Source organism: Homo sapiens, chromosome 3, assembly GCF_000001405.40.
Source record: "Homo sapiens chromosome 3, GRCh38.p14 Primary Assembly".
In the NCBI taxonomy this organism is placed as follows: domain Eukaryota; kingdom Metazoa; phylum Chordata; class Mammalia; order Primates; family Hominidae; genus Homo; species Homo sapiens.
The window spans coordinates 37,971,553-37,987,179 of NC_000003.12; the positions used below are offsets into that span (position 1 = coordinate 37,971,553).

Below are 15,627 nucleotides of genomic sequence, written 5' to 3' on the forward strand. Positions count from 1 at the left end.
ACCCCTACCCCCAATCTGTCAAGCAGCCCTTTGTTTTGGTGGGGGAAGCCATTTCTATGGTGACAGGTTCCCACCCCAGATGGGATGGATGCAGGCCATGTGCATGGTGCCAGTCTGAAAGCCTTCTGGGTTACCATGGTGACAGGGAGCACTTAGAACAAATGCTCCATGAAGTTGCTGTGTGCAGCCACCTGAAGCTGGGTGTCCACAGTCCAGAGAATCACAAACAGGTCCAGTGTAATGGACAAAGGATGGTGTACCCCTCAACCATTGACTGTCAGCCAACTGCTAGAGGCCCCTGTGTCCTTGGGTTTTGCTTTCACAGATTTGAGGGAGAAGCAAGTGAGAGATAAGTGTTGGACACTCACCCACATGCTTGGGCTGAATGAGAGTTCCAACTGCCCTAATGAGCTGTATGATCTGAGGCAAGTTACTTCACTTCTCATGTCAGTTTCTTCTATAAATTGGGGATAATTCCAGCTACCTTGTGGCTAGATCACATGAAATAACATATGTAAAGGACTTAGCACAGTGTCTGGCTCACATACAGCAAGTATTCATTGAGCACTTGCTGTGTTCCACATACTGTGCTGGGCATTGTCACATGATAAGCACTCCTGATGTTCATTATTTTGTGTTACAATTATTTGTTGATGATGATAGGCCGGGCGCGGTTGCTCATGCCTGTAATCCCAACACTTTGGGAGGCCAAGGAGGGCGTATCACCTGAGGTCAGGAGTTCAAGACCAACCTGGCCAACATGGTGAAATCCCGTCTCAAAATACAAAAATTAACTGGGCATGGTGGCGGGCATCTGTAATCCCAGCTACTCGGGAGGCTGAGGCACGAGAATTGCTTGAACCCAGAAGGCAGAGGTTGCAGTGAGCCAAGATCATGCCACTGCACTCCACCCTGGGCGACAGTGACTCCGTCTCAAAAATATATATACATATATTTATTGGTGATGATAAAATCATTCAGACATATCTTGATCCTAAAGCTTGATATGAATCTGACCTAAAATCTACACTGGCTCTGATCAAATAGAATGGTTTCTTTGTCCTCTCCACTGTTTAAGGAAACTAGCAGGTTCCCAAGCCTCCCAGTATGGTTTAGTCTCCCCCTTCACAGGTGTGGCAGGGTGCCTGTGCTGTGTGGGGCAGGCAGGGTAGGCCTTGCTTCTCCCAGGAGATCTTTGCCTTGACCATTTCCCAAACTCTGACTCTGATGGGGCTGACACCATCCATTTGTTGGTAGCACCACAGTTGTCTCCATGGGCATCTCAGGGACCCTGAGTGGTCCCAAAGATGAGTTTTCTGGGGCCCAGGTTAACCATTTGCCTGTCTCCAGGACATCACACAGTAGCTTCCTCCGCCATGTCCTGCTTCTGGACGGTGCCCTGATGCCCATACTCCCTTCTCTTCCTCTGCATGTTCCACTGCTTTGCTGGCCTGGCCATTGCTGGTTGGGTCCATCTCTGTGATGATTGAGGGGCGGGAGAGCCCCACTTGCACAAATGCTGCCAGACTTATCACCAGGCCTTAGAGCATGAACCAGTGGAGTGGGATTCAAAATCCTCGTCCTTATTTTTGCATTTCAAAAAGAGAACAAGGCCTCAGGGAAAATAGAGTCTTCCCCAGTGGGTAATCTTTCAGATGAGTGGTACCAAGATTAATTGTTATCTGTAGCATCAGTGGCTCTTCCAACAGTGCTCTGGGATGCTGAAGGGCCTGAAGTAATAACCAAAGAAATAAACAAGAAGATTGCACCAATAGCAGTGAAGTGAGAGCTGTTTTTTGTTTGGGAAAATTGAGAACACTCTTCCTTGGCATTGTCCCCAGCATTTGCTTAAACATCCTTGTTCGGTTACTCTTCCTGGATGGCTCCCACCTGCCCCACCATCTGTCTCTTCAACCCTTCTCTTGCTGCTACTCCAGCCTTGCTGAGCCGAATCAGCTCCCACGTGCAGCCTTCCACCCTCTTTCCTCGCTGAGGTACATGTCCTGCTGATGGGTGGTCATGCCCCTGTCCTTGGCTCTGGACTCGGCTTCCAGCCAGCAGTAGTGGTGCAGTGGACCTCCTTGCCTGCTGCCCAGGAGCCCGCAGGAACCTCAAGCTGACTGTCGTAGCCTTTCAGTATCTGCTTCATTGTCATTCCTTCCTTCATTCACCCAGCAAATATTTACTTAGTACCTATTGTGTGCCAGGCACAGTACTAAATACTGGGGATATAGCAAAGAAAAAAAGAGACAAAGTCCCTCCCCTTGTGAAGCTTACATTCTTCACATTCATTCTCTAAGGCCTGGAGGCCTCAGACTCAGACACTCTTGAAAGATAGGTGCTACCACAAGTGTTCATGATTATGAGGAAATAGATCATCTTTTTCCATTTAGAGCAAGCTTGTCCAGCCTGTGACCCACAGGGCGCGTGCAGCCCAGGACAGCTTTAGACGTGGCCCAACACAAATTCGTAAACTTTCTTAAAACGTTAGGAGATTTTTTTTAAAGCTCATCAGCTATTGTTAGTGATAGTGTATTTTATGTGTGGCCCAAGACAATTCTTCTTCCAATGTGGCCCAGGGAAGCCGAAAGATGGGATACCCCTGATCTGGACTCAGTTGCCTACAACCCACCCACGTGGCCCCTGGTTAGCCTCACCAGCAGATGACTGTAGTGCCCTGAGCTCTCACCTCCCTTGGCCAGTAGGAAACACAGCTGCTCCTGGACTCTGCCTCCTACAGGATGTCCTTGGAGAGGAGAGGATGTTCCCACGGAATCATAGCTGCTGCTTGCAGCTTTGCAGCCCACGTCCCACAGCTGTGCTGGCACTTGCTCTGCACTCCACTACTGGCCTTCCCAGCGCCACCAGCCACAGGTGCTCTCTGCCTCCCTGGCAGAGTCACTGGGTCCCGCTGATGCCTGGTTGTACCCCTTACTTGGTCTTGGTGCAGGGGCCTGGCCTCGTGTCAGGCTTGGCAACTGCTCCTGTTTCTTCCAGGCCTAGCCACTCAGTATGGCCCACTCTTTTAGGTATCTTCAGTTATGAGGATTTTCTCTCAGAAACCCCTTTATTTCTTTCTCCAAGCCTGCTTTGGGGGAAATTTCCTAGGTCATGAGAGAGGGCCAGGCAGGATGATCCGCAACTGTGAGCTGGGCTCAAACTCCCATCCAGCTCCTGGGCTTCAAGGAAGTGGATGGGCATCTATGGGAGTGGACGGCTGGGCACCATCCTGTCACTCAGGGGCTGGTCTGGCCCAAGTGCCCAGAGGACCTCTAGGGGGCAGTGTCATGCCATTCAAGACACATTGGAGCCAGCTCATTCATTCAGTGGTGAAATTCATGTTTACTGAGCCCCTCTTGTGGTAGATACTCTGGGAGGTGCTAGGGATGTGGTGGTGGGGATGTTTCAGGCCTGGGCCCTGACAAGGAGAGAGGAAATCAAGCAATCCCACATAGTACTCCACTCTGTGAGGGAAACAACCCAGAAAGGAAGATAGATGTGGCTCTAGGTGGATGGGAGAGGAAGTCAAGACCTGAAAAACCAGGAGACAGATGTTCTGCAAAGAGCTGGGGAGAGAATGCATGCAGAGGGAACACTGGTACAAAGGTCCTGACCATACTCAAAGCCAGTGTGGCTCCAGGGGCTCCAGATGGAGCTCATTCAGCTGTGCCATGTGGGACGCAGCAGTGAGGAACGTGGGCCTTACTCCAAGTGCGGTGTGTAGACAGTGGAGAGTTTTCAGCAGAGGAGTGACATGATGGCACATATGTTTTCCAGTGGCCACTCTGACAGCTTCTAGGTGAATGGGCTAGAAAGGAGGCCCCGTGGGAAAGACAGGTTTTTCACGAGGCTCACACAGCCATCCCAGGCCAGAGATTCGAGGCCCAGGCTAAGGGTGGTGGCAATATAAATAGATGCAAATGGAGTCAGGCTATCTTTGGAGATGAAACTGACAATTCCTGATGGTTGGATGTGAGAGAAATGGAAGAATCCAGTGCCATCTTATGTACACGGAGAGGAAAATAACCAGGATCCTAAGACACATCTAATTATTAAATCCATTTTTAAAAAACGTAATCTGGATCTTGCTGCTGTAGTTCAGGGTTTGGGGGGCTCTTTTAAACACCCAGCCTTCATTGTGACACGTCTTTTCCAGTATGCAGACCCTGTGGCTGACCTCCTAGACCGCTGGGGTGTGTTCCGGGCCCGGCTCTTCAGAGAATCATGTGTTTTTCATCGTGGGAACTACGTGAAGGACCTGAGTCGCCTTGGGCGGGAGCTGAGCAAAGTGATCATTGTTGACAATTCCCCTGCCTCATACATCTTCCATCCTGAGAATGCAGTAAGTGGCCCCAAAGAAAGAAAATGTCGTGCTCCATCTGAGCCCTCTGTCTTGCCAGGCAGGTACCACTTTTGAGCACCTACACAAGAAGGTCTCTGGGCCTTTTCCTAATGAAATCCCAGCTCTGCCATTTAGCAGTTGCGTGTCATTGACCAAGTTATTTAACCTCACTGAGCCTCGGTTGCCTCATCTGTCAAATGGGAATTATAGGAATGCTGATCTCATAGGATCATTGGAGGTTGCAGTGTGGCAATATATAAAAAGCACTTAGAATAGTGCTTGAGACTGGTAAATGCTCTATAAGCCTGTATCGTCTTATTGACATTTTTAGTATTGTTATTGACAAGGGTTCTGCTGGCAGTAACCTCCTGGAGCCAGCTACTGCGTAGGACTTCATGACCCCTGTAGACTAAGGAGGCCTGGTTGATCTCTTTAACAGAAGTATTTCTTAAGAATGAATAGGCCAGGTGTGGTGGCTCACACCTGTAATCCCAACCCTTTGGGAGGCCGAGGCAGATCACAAGGTCAGGAGATCGAGACCATCCTGGCCAACATGGTAAAACCCTGTCTCTACTAAATACAAAAAATTAGCCAGGCGTTGGTGGCACGCACCTGTAGTCTCAGCTACTCGGGAGGCTGAGGCAGGGCAATCACTTGAACCCGGGAGGCGGAGGTTGCAGTGAGCTGAGATCCCACCACTTCACTCCAGCCTGGCGACAGATGGAGACTCCGTCTCAAAAAAAAAAAAAAAATGAATAAAACACTTCAATAAGGTCTTCAAATAAGACTGCCAAGCTTTGCTACCTCATCATGATGTCTAAAAAGCACCCATTGGGAACATTTCATTCATAAAGCTCCCTGGACCATGGCAGCTCTCGGTGCCTACTCACTGGGTGCAGCACAACTCTCAGGGCAAGAAGGACTGCCTTCCTGCCTGCTGCCTGACACTTCCAGGGGAAAAGAGGCCAACCAGGGCCTCTGGTGACTGCTGACCCCTCAGTCTCTGCCACATCAGGCCCCTAGACCAGGCATTTTTCCCTGGAGAGGATGCTTCCTCTCAAGCACAGGCTTCTCAGATTCTACAAAAGCCTGCAAAGTCCTTTCCTTGAATCCAGAACTCTGCAGTCTCGCTTATAACCAAAAAAAATTCAAACTCAATTAATTTGGCTAGTGTGGAATCATTATTTGAATAAATACTCCAAATGTATTTCTATGTAAATGTGTTCATTTTACTGAGTAAATCAAATTCAACATAATATATTTGGTAACGTGTCTCTAACAGATAAGGATTGCTTTTTAATATAATCACAAGTCACGGTCAGATCTGACAAAGTAACAGTTTCTTACATTGTCTAATATCCAGACTGTGTTCATATTGTCCCTATCATCTCGAAGTGTTGTGCATTTGGAGTATTTCAATCGGGATCCAAAAAGATCCATGCATTGCTTTGGTTACTATGTCTCTTCATTCTTTTGCAATCTTAACACGTCTCCCTTTCCTCCCCTTTTCTCTTTTATGCCATTTATTTGTTGAAGAAGCCCTGGTGTTTTGTCTTGTAGAAATCTCCTACATTCTGGATTTGTCCAGCTGCTGTCTTGTGATGATGTTTAATATGTTCTTATAGCCACCTTATATCCTCTAAACAAGTAATTAGAGCTCTACTGCTTGATTAGATTCGATTTTTTTTTTTTTTGCAAGAATATATCATAGAGGCCAGATGCAATGGCTCACACCTATAATCCCAGCACTTTGGGAGGCCCAGGCAGGTGATCACTTGAGCCCAAGAGTTTGAGACCAGCCTGGGCAACATGGCAAGACCCCATCTCTTAAAAAAAAAAAAATTAGCCAGACGGGGTGGCAGACACCTGTGGTTCCACTGTCGTTCCAGCTACTTGGGAGGCTGAGGTGGGAGGATCTCTTGAGCCCAGGAGGTCGAGGCTGCAGTGAGCCATGTTCATGCCACTGCACTTCAGCCTGAGTGACAGAGCAAGACCCTATCCCAAAAAAAAGAAGAAAAAAATAATACATCATGGGTATTATACGCTTATGAAGATATCATATCAAGGAGGCATAAAATGTCAGGTTAGCCCACTTTTAAAGATTTAAAATTCATCATTGGGTTCAGGTGGTGTTAGCCTGATCCATCTATTATAAAATTCTCCCATGAACCTTTCACCTCATAATTTTAGCAGTTGTTGGTGATCATTGTCTACACCCACTATTTCATGAGGAATTGCAAAATGGCAATTTCTATTTTCAGACTAATGAGTTGGTGTTCTAGCGGCCTCCAAAAGTAGCCAATAATTTTTTTTTAGTATCATTATGAACTCATGGATTTGTTGTAGTTTCAGTCCATTTATTATTCTTTTGCATGCTCTAATTTTCACCTTTGGCTATGGACACTAATAACAAGTCTTTGATATAGGTTGAATATTCTTTATCTAAAATGCTTGGTACCAGAAGTGTCTTGGATTTTGGATTTTTTAGGATTTTGGAATATTTGCATATACATAATTGGATATCTTGGGGATGGAACCAAGTCTAAACATGAAATTCATTTCTGTTTTATGTACAGCTTATACACATAGCCTAAAGGTAATTTTATACAATATTTTTTATAATTTGGGGACACTAAATAAACTGTGTATCATGTGCCTGTGTTTTCACTACCACCTGGCACACGAGGTCAAGTGTAGAATTTTCCACTTGTGGTGCCATTGCTCAAAAAATTTTGGATTTTGAGGCATTTCGGGACTCAGATTTTTCAGATTAGGGATGCTCAACCTGTAGCTTCCTTACTTTCTTAAACAACAAGATGTTCCAGGCTCATGATGAACATTTCTTGCCTCAGCCCTGGAACCAGCCATTTTTGTATGGTGCCTGGTCCCTATTAGTGGAAGTGGTATTTAGAGACCACAGTTTAGGTGGATTTTCATTGCTAATGGGATATACTTTACTTCTAGCCCATACTACAGGGCAGAGCTAAAAATGACATATTTTTAGAAAGAAAACTAAATCATAAGTTCATACTGGTTTTTCCAATACAACGTTACGTTTTTATGTAACTTCTTTGCTTGTTTTGTTTTTGTATCCCTTTCTCTTATGCTGCAACTCTTGATTTCTAAAGATATTAACATAATTATATAATTGATCTGTAGTGTATGTTTAATAATTTCAGTAGCGGTACTAAATTATGGCTAATAATAAGACAACTCTATGCAGTTTAGGAATTTTTAGAGAGATGTACAGTTATAACACCATGTTTTAAAATCACTTGAATGCCAGGCTTGGTGGCTTACCTGGCTGCTTGCAATCCCAGCACTTTGGGAGGCTGAGGAGGGAGGATTACTTGAGCTTAGGAGTTTGAAACCAGCCTGGACAACAAAGCAAGATCCTGTCGCTACTAAAAAAAAAAGAAAAAAAAAAGGCTGGGGTGGTGGCTCATGCCTGTAATCCTAGCACTTTGGGAGGCCGAGGTGGGTGGATCACCTGAGGTCAGGATTTCAAGACCAGCCTGACCAACATGGTGAAACCCTGTCTCTACTAAAATACAAAAACTAGCTGGGCATGGCGGCAGGTGCCTGTAATCCCAGCTACTCAGGAGGCTGAGGCAGGAGAACCCAGGAGTTGGAGGTTGCAGTGAGCTAAGATCACACCATTGCACTCCAGCCTGGGCAACAAGAGCAAAACTCCATCTCAAAAAAAGAAAAGAAAAAAAATTAGCCAAGCGTGGTGCCACATGCCTATAGTCCCAGCTACTTGGGAGGCTGAGGTGGAAGGATCACTTGAGCCCAGGAGGTCAAGGCTACAGAGCTATGATTGCCACTGCACTCAAGCCTGGGTGACAGAGTGTGACGCTGTGTCACACACACACACACAAATCACTTGAAGTAATTGTGTGGTTGTGTCACCAATTTTATATACACTTAGATTCACTTTTATTGCTTTTTTTCTTAATGGTTTAATTGTATTTTAATTATATAACACATTTACATGGTTCCGACATCAAAACTATAAATAAAGACAGAGAAGTGTGTCCATTTCTGCCCTCTCCTCCACTCTCTCCCCATCCCCTAGGCGTAGTCATTTCTTTATTAGTCCTTACTTTATTTTTCAAAGTTACGTAATAAATGTCTATGTTTCTAAGCTATCTTTAGATTTGTAAAAGGGCTAAAATGTTACTTTTAAACATGTTTGGTTTATTCAAATTTGTTTATAAATCTCTCCTTTGTACCCCTGGCTACCACCCCTCCCCACTCCTCTGCCTAAAACTAAGGGAAAATCCTGTCTTTGCCCATAGCTTCAGAATGTTCTGCAATTTTAGACTTTTACTTTTAACTGATCACTGTTAAGCAAGGGAGGAAATTTACCACTTCTCTTTGTGATGTAATATTGCACAGTGACCCTAAGTGGAAGCCTTCCTGTGTCCTGGATGTGAGCTCCGCGCTGTCAGTGGTTGGCTTGTAAGCTCTGGCTCCAAGTGTTCTGAGGTGCAAGGAACCGATCTTGTGCAGTAGAAAGAGCTTTTGGAAGTTGGCAAGTAGCAAGGCTAGTTCTCATACATTCTATGCTCTGGCCACCTTTTTCTGTGGCAGGAAAACAAAACAGGCAAATGCACACAAACTGGGTACATTTAACTTTGCCTCCCTGAGCCATCTCCCAAGCCATTTAGCTTTGGATTGGCCTCAATTTGAACAAGGGAACAAACAAAATCATGATGATAACGATGATGACACCAGTCGTCCTTACTAAAGAAAGTGCTCAAAGTCCGGGTACCCGGTTAGGTTAGGAGCAGCCCCCAGCGCTAGATGCAGTCCTGCTGCCTCCTCCATGCACTGTCTTCCAGGTGCCTGTGCAGTCCTGGTTCGATGACATGACGGACACGGAGCTGCTGGACCTCATCCCCTTCTTTGAGGGCCTGAGCCGGGAGGACGACGTGTACAGCATGCTGCACAGACTCTGCAATAGGTAGCCCTGGCCTCTGCCTGCCTCCCGCCTGTGCACTCTGGAACCTCTGGCCTCAGGGGACCTGCCTGTCCTCAGCTCCCTGGGAGCTGAAAGTGAGGATACTCCGTGCTCCAGGCCACAGGGTGAATGTGGCCATGCCTACCTGTTTTGTTTTTTTAAGAACAGAAACAACTATTTTAAAAGAACTCTTTTAAGAAATTTCATAAAGGGACATGCATTTTACTGGGTTTGCTTTTCTTAAAACATACCAAAAAAGAAAAAAATAGAAAAAAAAAAAAAAAAAGCTTGATCTCTATCAGACTTCCTTTCAACTGTCCTCCCCTCCAAGCAGACCACCTGTCCCCTTCTATCCCAGCTCAGAGCAGCTGACCCAACTCAGAATCTCTTTCCTACAGGATGAAGTGCCTTTTGAATGTTATTTTAAGCCGAGAGTTAATTTTTCTACACAACATATTTCCAGACATCTTTTAGTCTTTTATTGTCTTAGATACTATAAGAAGATGAACATGACAATTTTCTAGAACCTGGTAGCGTGTGTGTGTGTGGCGGGGGGTGCTGAGGGAGGGGAGTGAGTCACAGGAGCCTGTCCCCCAACAGGTGTGACTGCTCTGACAACCTGTGGCATGCTGCAGGGTCAGGCTCCTGATAGGAGGATTTCATGACTATGTCATTGTCTCCACTCATTTTTGACCCAGTTTGGAATGTATCTGCAATTGTGTGGCTCAACACTTTAGGAAACAATAGATTATTTTATATTATTATTTCTGATGGTGACAAGTTTGTCTTGAGGTCACATTTTCTCCTTGAAAAGTGACATCCTGTCACTTCTGCTCTCACACTACTGCCATACATTTGTGTTTTTTGTTGTTATTGTTTGGGTAGAGCAGTTACAAGAAACCCTAAAACCCTTGGATATAAAAGAAATCTGTTTATTGATTTTTAAATCTTTCCTTTCCAAAAGCTGGATACACATGGAGCTGTTTGGGAATTTTCCTTGCTGCTACCGCGCTGCCACCAAATGGAATTGACCAGCGGCTGTTACACTGTTCTTTGCCACTGTGCCTATGCTCAGAATATGCTCACTGCTAAGCTACAAACTCGGACAGGGTCAGAAACAGAGGTGTCCCATCCCATTGCAGCCTCCACCACCTGTAACCCCTTCCTGGCATTGGCCACTGAAGGGTACAAAGGCAAAAGGACCACAGCACCACTTAGGTGTAGCATGGATTTTAAACTGCAGTCAGTATCAGATCCTGTTTGATAAATAAGCTGACTGTTCTCTCTTGAGAACCTGTGGCCTCAACCAGCCACCAAGCTGATGTGGCCCAAGTCCATCTCTTGGTCTTCTCCTTTGAAGCACAGCCTATTTCTGAGCCAAGGGTTGGGGAAGCCTGTCTAGATGTGGGACTCATTGCCCCAAACCAGGGAGAGGAAGAGCTCCCACAGGGAGAGCCCAGGCTCTCTTTGCAGCCTTTCCCAGTTTGGTGTTTAAGCAGTGCCATGTTCCTTGTTTGACAACAAGACAGTCTGTAAAGTATTGCTCTTAAAAACAATTAAAAAGAACCCTTTCATATTGGCACCATTGCCTTAGTCCTCTGTGGGTTGGTCTTCAGCCAGCATTCTGGTGGGAGTGACTGGCATTAACAAGACTGGAAATCGGGGGTCAAAGTAAAATATCTTTGTTTTGCTTTCATTCACAAAGTAATGAAGCCAGCTGCCAATTACATCCTCCCAACAGCACTTTGGTCTGTGGACTGCTGTGTGAATATTCAGAAGGGAAGTAAGTATTCAGGGGGTAAACAGGTCTCCCAGCATTCTGAGTGTTCCAAACCAGTAATCCACATGCCAATTCAAATAGAACAGCCCCTTGCTAGATATTACCACAGATAATGACAGTTACATGGTAGAACTGCCCATGCCACAAATATTTATTTGGAAAAGTAGTCATTAAATGAACCCACTGCCTTAAATGTCTTGAATGTTGCAGTCAAGTGTCTGTCATGTGTTGATATCCACACAGAATTAGGCCCTAATGAGAGCCTTAGACCCTCAACCATGCCCCCTTCGTTGGCATCACAGGGCCTTATTTGGAAGAGCGGGCAAAGAGGATGGAAATCATAAAATATTTCATGGGAATCGAACCTAGGGATAGTGCTCCACTTCTGACGATGGAGTGAAGACACTTGGCAGACTTGAGCCAGACACTTCACCTAGTAGTTCCTGAAACTGTGAGCACCACTGCACTAAGCCAGTGCGGAGCTGTTAGGGACGGGCCCAGCTCCTGCACCACGGACACAGAATGTCTGGAGAGGGCCAGCAGGCCCTCTGAGGGTTCTGGAATCTGTGCACCTTATTTGACCACACTCCAAAATTCTGTTTTTATTTTAACCCTTGAATCTGCTTTATGTACATAATCAAAATATCTATATCTATATCTATATCTATATCTATATATTTTTAATCATCTACATGTAAATGAAGCAATAGAATTCTAACATAAGGCCAAGAAATGAGACGAATGTTTGGGGTTTATGTTTTTTAAGGTAAATACGGGTATTGTTTTTAATTATTACCATGTATTAAATTGTGGGCTTTGAAACCTAATGAAACCTGTTAGCCACTTCTCTGTGCCATATACTTCCCATGTTACCAAAATACCCCCAACTCTTTAGCCAAAAGAGAACCCTGACCTCCTGAGTTTCCATGCTCCTTTCTGTACCAGGTTTAAATGTAGTCTTCTGGAGAAGTATTTTTGACATTGAGCTCTGGGACAGGACACCTTGGGTTTGTGGACTGCAGCCCACTATGATGTTATTACTTCTCTGGCCAGGCCTCCAGTGGAAGTGCACAGGCACTCCCAATGTTGTTAATGCTCTGTCTTCCATTTGTTCTGGAATCCTACGTGTTGGTCTGTGGTTCCATGCATTAGCTGTTTGTAAATAATGCATTTGCATACTGAAAAAGGAATGCCACCTGCCACAGTTGATGGTGAGGAAGCTCCTTTGACGTGGTGCAATTTTGATGAGATGTCTCTGGGGACACGAGGATGCCCTAATGATGCTGACTTGTCATGGTTGCAGCATTTGAACTTTTGGTGTTAAAAAAAAAAACCTGTAAGTCTGTAACCTGGCAACATTTTACAACCCTGTATTTTTAAAGATGGCTTTCTAATAAAAAATCCAGAACCACACAGCCCTATGGTCAAACAATCCTACGTTTGTGCCTCTGCTTTTAAAGGTGCTGTGCTGGACAGTTGGCATGCCAGGGTTCGAGAAGAGTGAATGGCTTGACGTACTTGCAGTTAACTGTGCAAAATTGGCTGGCTGCCTCTGTTCCTACTGTACTGTAACTTTGATCATGTCTGTTCCTGTTCCATTCTCCCAGGAGCTTCTCTGCAGACTGACACACCCTCCCCCACCCCGGGTAGTGGAGATGCTGGTGTCTGGGTAGTCATGGATTTCTGCTGGACATTTGAATGTGATAAACAATCCAGCATTACTTAGGAAATGCTACATGCGGAATGTGCACGTTTCCAGGGGCGAGTATTGTCAATCAAAAGGTTTGCAATGATTTCCTTCCTGCCAAAAATAAACATGTGAAACTGCACTCTTTTGTGGATTGACTACTTTTCTACCAGAAGCGCCTCTCCTCCCTCCCTTCCCCGCCTCCTGCGCAGCCTCATGCCATCACCTTGGGTCTCCTGGTATCCCCACTTCCGGGGAACAGGGGTGGATGGGAGTGGGGCTGCAGCACTCCAGGAGCCACAGACTGATTTTCTAGCTCGTCCATCCCACCCAAATTGCCTGTCACTCCAAGGGTGACTGCTGTTCAGCCCCCTGGCTTCCTCCCTCCGGAAGCAGTATGGCTCACTCTTCTCCCACAAAGATTCCAGCCCTCCCAGCAGGCTGGAAAATGCAGCCTGAGAGAACTGGGGCCTCCCATTCCATAAGAACCACAGGCATTATATGTGGTGCCTAAACCCATACCCATACCCATGGGCACAGTGGCCAAGATGATTGCCCGATGAAGCACGGCAAGGAGTCGGAAGAGGAGTCAGGATGTCCCAGGCAGTTTCTCGCAGTGAGACATTCTGTCGCCAGTGCCCTGAACCCAGTCCCTCTGTACATGCAGGTGAGAGAGGCAGCGACTCCTCTGCTAGAGACTCCTGGCAGGGACTTGGACATGGCTTCGCCACTCTCAGGACTCTTTCTCTTCATGATATCTGATTCGGATAGCACCAGTGTCAATTTCATAAGGTAAGTCTTATCCCCATTTTGTGGATGAGAAAACAGGCCAGCGAGACAAAGCTCTGCAGTCTGCTCTATCACAAGATACAGGATTCTACCAGGCATGTATATTCATCCCAAATAACTCAGGACACAGTATGTGTATCAGCCCAGGAGACCTAATATTTACCCAGAGACAAAACCCCAAATACCCCACAGCTAAGCCTGTGCCGTGCCCCTAGGTTCTTTGTCATCACAGTGGAGCAGCTGGCCAGCCAGAGAGAAGTCACTGCAGCTTCCTCCCCTGGTTCCAGACTCCTAGGCTGTGTCCTTTATTCTGCTCCCCAGCCCTCTCTGTCCCTCTCTCACCTTCTCTGGCATCAACCCTGTACCCCACTGCTTCACACCTTTGCATACAGGCAAACAGATAAAAGGCTGAGAGTTGTGGCAGTGCCTGAGGCTGAGGTATCCTCATGAGTGTCCACTGGTCCCCGAAATAGGTGGGAAGGACACACGGGGCATCAAGAGGGCACTTATTTGGGACTTGGACATGCTGAGATATGCCCTTCCGTGTTTTCTAGTTTGAGCACATATCATCTGTGTGTATTACAGGACCAAGGAATGGGCAGGAAGCCCAGGAGGGTGGGAAGGAGTGGCTGGGAAAAGCCAGCCTGGGAACAGTGGCACATCAGCTGACGAACATTCTGTTGAGCTTATGGATAAGGAGTGCATTGAGGGCTTGTGGCCGAGTTGTGGAGTAACCTGGATGCTTGCACGATAAATCTCCTGTGTCAGGGCTGGCTGTGGGTCAGCAGACTGTTCAAGGCCCAGAGCCATCAACTGGCATGGCCACCAGCCTGACCTCTGAGAACAGAGGCCATCGGGAGGAGGACATGGCCCCAGAGCTTTCCACCTCAAACCTCCATTACAGCTCCCTCTCCTGGTGCAGTGATTCTCAGCTCTGGCTGAAGCTGTACCCTAGAATTACCTGAGGGGTCTCAAACATACATCCCTCAAGTCCACCACAGACCATTTCCAATCTCTGCATATGGGGACCTGCGTCATGTTTTTAAGTGCCAAGATGACTGGAAAGGGCAGCCAGGGCTGAGACCCCCTGCTCTGACTGGCTACAGAGGAAAGGCAAGTCCTCCGAAACTGTTCCAGGCCTGATGCCCAGGTGTGGCAAAGGAGCTGTGGCCAGAGCTTTGGGGAAAATGACGTGTTGCTTTACCTGAAAGATCAGCCATATACATGTTCATTGCTAAAAAGTTGGAAAATCCAGAAAAGTACAGAGAAAAGCCCACCTGGGCACTGGGAGCCTTTCCCAAGGCAGGGGTGAGGAGGGAGGCCTGGTGAGACCCCTGCCTGGCTGACAGCACCTGCTTTCACACAGGTGGGGAGCAGAGTGGAGCCCCCCACTACACATTGGAAGGATCACACTGCCCACTAGGCACGGACCCCAGCCTTGCACCACCACCCTTCCAACAGGCCAGGGCTTTCCTGACCCAAGCTGGGTCCTAATGGGTGGGCGTGCTGCTGGGCAGGACCACAGTGGGCAAGGCAGTGACACCTCTTTGCAGGGGCCCAGGGTTGGTGTTTGGTCTGTCCTCTCACCCAGCTGTTCCCGTGGTGTCCTCGGGAGGAGTCACTTCCAGCCTATGCAAGCTCCAGTGACCATTGCCACAGCTCCTTCCACATCCTGCAGCCCAGGGCGGGACCACCAGATGTGGGGACACATGCGGGCCCATGGCTGCTCCCCTCCAGCGCAAGGAGCCAGGGCATCTCCAGGAGTGGGCTCCAGGACCTGAGTCAACAGTTCTCACTCCCCATCCCTGTCTGCCCTCAGAGAGGGACGCTCCTCACAGAGCCCGGACTCCACCACGAGAGGCAACATTCTGCACCTGCCTGGGAAAGACTGGAGAAGGCCTGGGGGATGAAGCCTGGGATAGGATGCCTGAGCCCAGAGAAACTGGGGCGGAGCCTGGACTTATCTTGGGGCCACTCCTTCACCTGGGTCAATATTGACATGGAGCGGGCTGGGCCTTGGAGATAAGCCAGGCAGGAACAAAGTAGGCCCCAAGCCCTGGAAA

At 47.2% G+C, this 15,627-nt stretch overlaps 1 protein-coding gene across 5 annotated transcripts in view, besides 1 other annotated feature; it reads left to right on the top strand.

The window, feature by feature from the left end:
- CTDSPL (CTD small phosphatase like) overlaps window positions 1-12,917 on the top strand; it is a 122,590-nt gene extending 109,673 nt beyond the window's left edge. For 3 of the 5 annotated variants that reach the window (NM_001438028.1, NM_001438653.1, XM_017005520.2), the window contains 3 exons: window positions 4,157-4,342; window positions 9,190-9,311; window positions 10,273-12,917. In NM_001438028.1, coding sequence (NP_001424957.1) covers window positions 4,157-4,342; window positions 9,190-9,311; window positions 10,273-10,339 — 375 coding nt within the window. In that variant the 3' untranslated portion in view covers window positions 10,340-12,917. Of the gene's footprint in view, window positions 1-4,156; window positions 4,343-9,189 lie in introns of all 5 variants that reach the window. The other 2 variants (NM_001008392.2, NM_005808.3) reach the window with 1 other exon arrangement.
- Window positions 15,434-15,611: a silencer, noted in NCBI's record as "fragment chr3:38028477-38028654 (GRCh37/hg19 assembly coordinates)". NCBI's record gives its function as "represses an EF-1alpha promoter that drives an FKBP-Casp9 reporter gene in an ReSE screen in HepG2 liver carcinoma cells {active_cell/tissue: HepG2}" and the evidence as "EXISTENCE:reporter gene assay evidence [ECO:0000049][PMID:32094911]".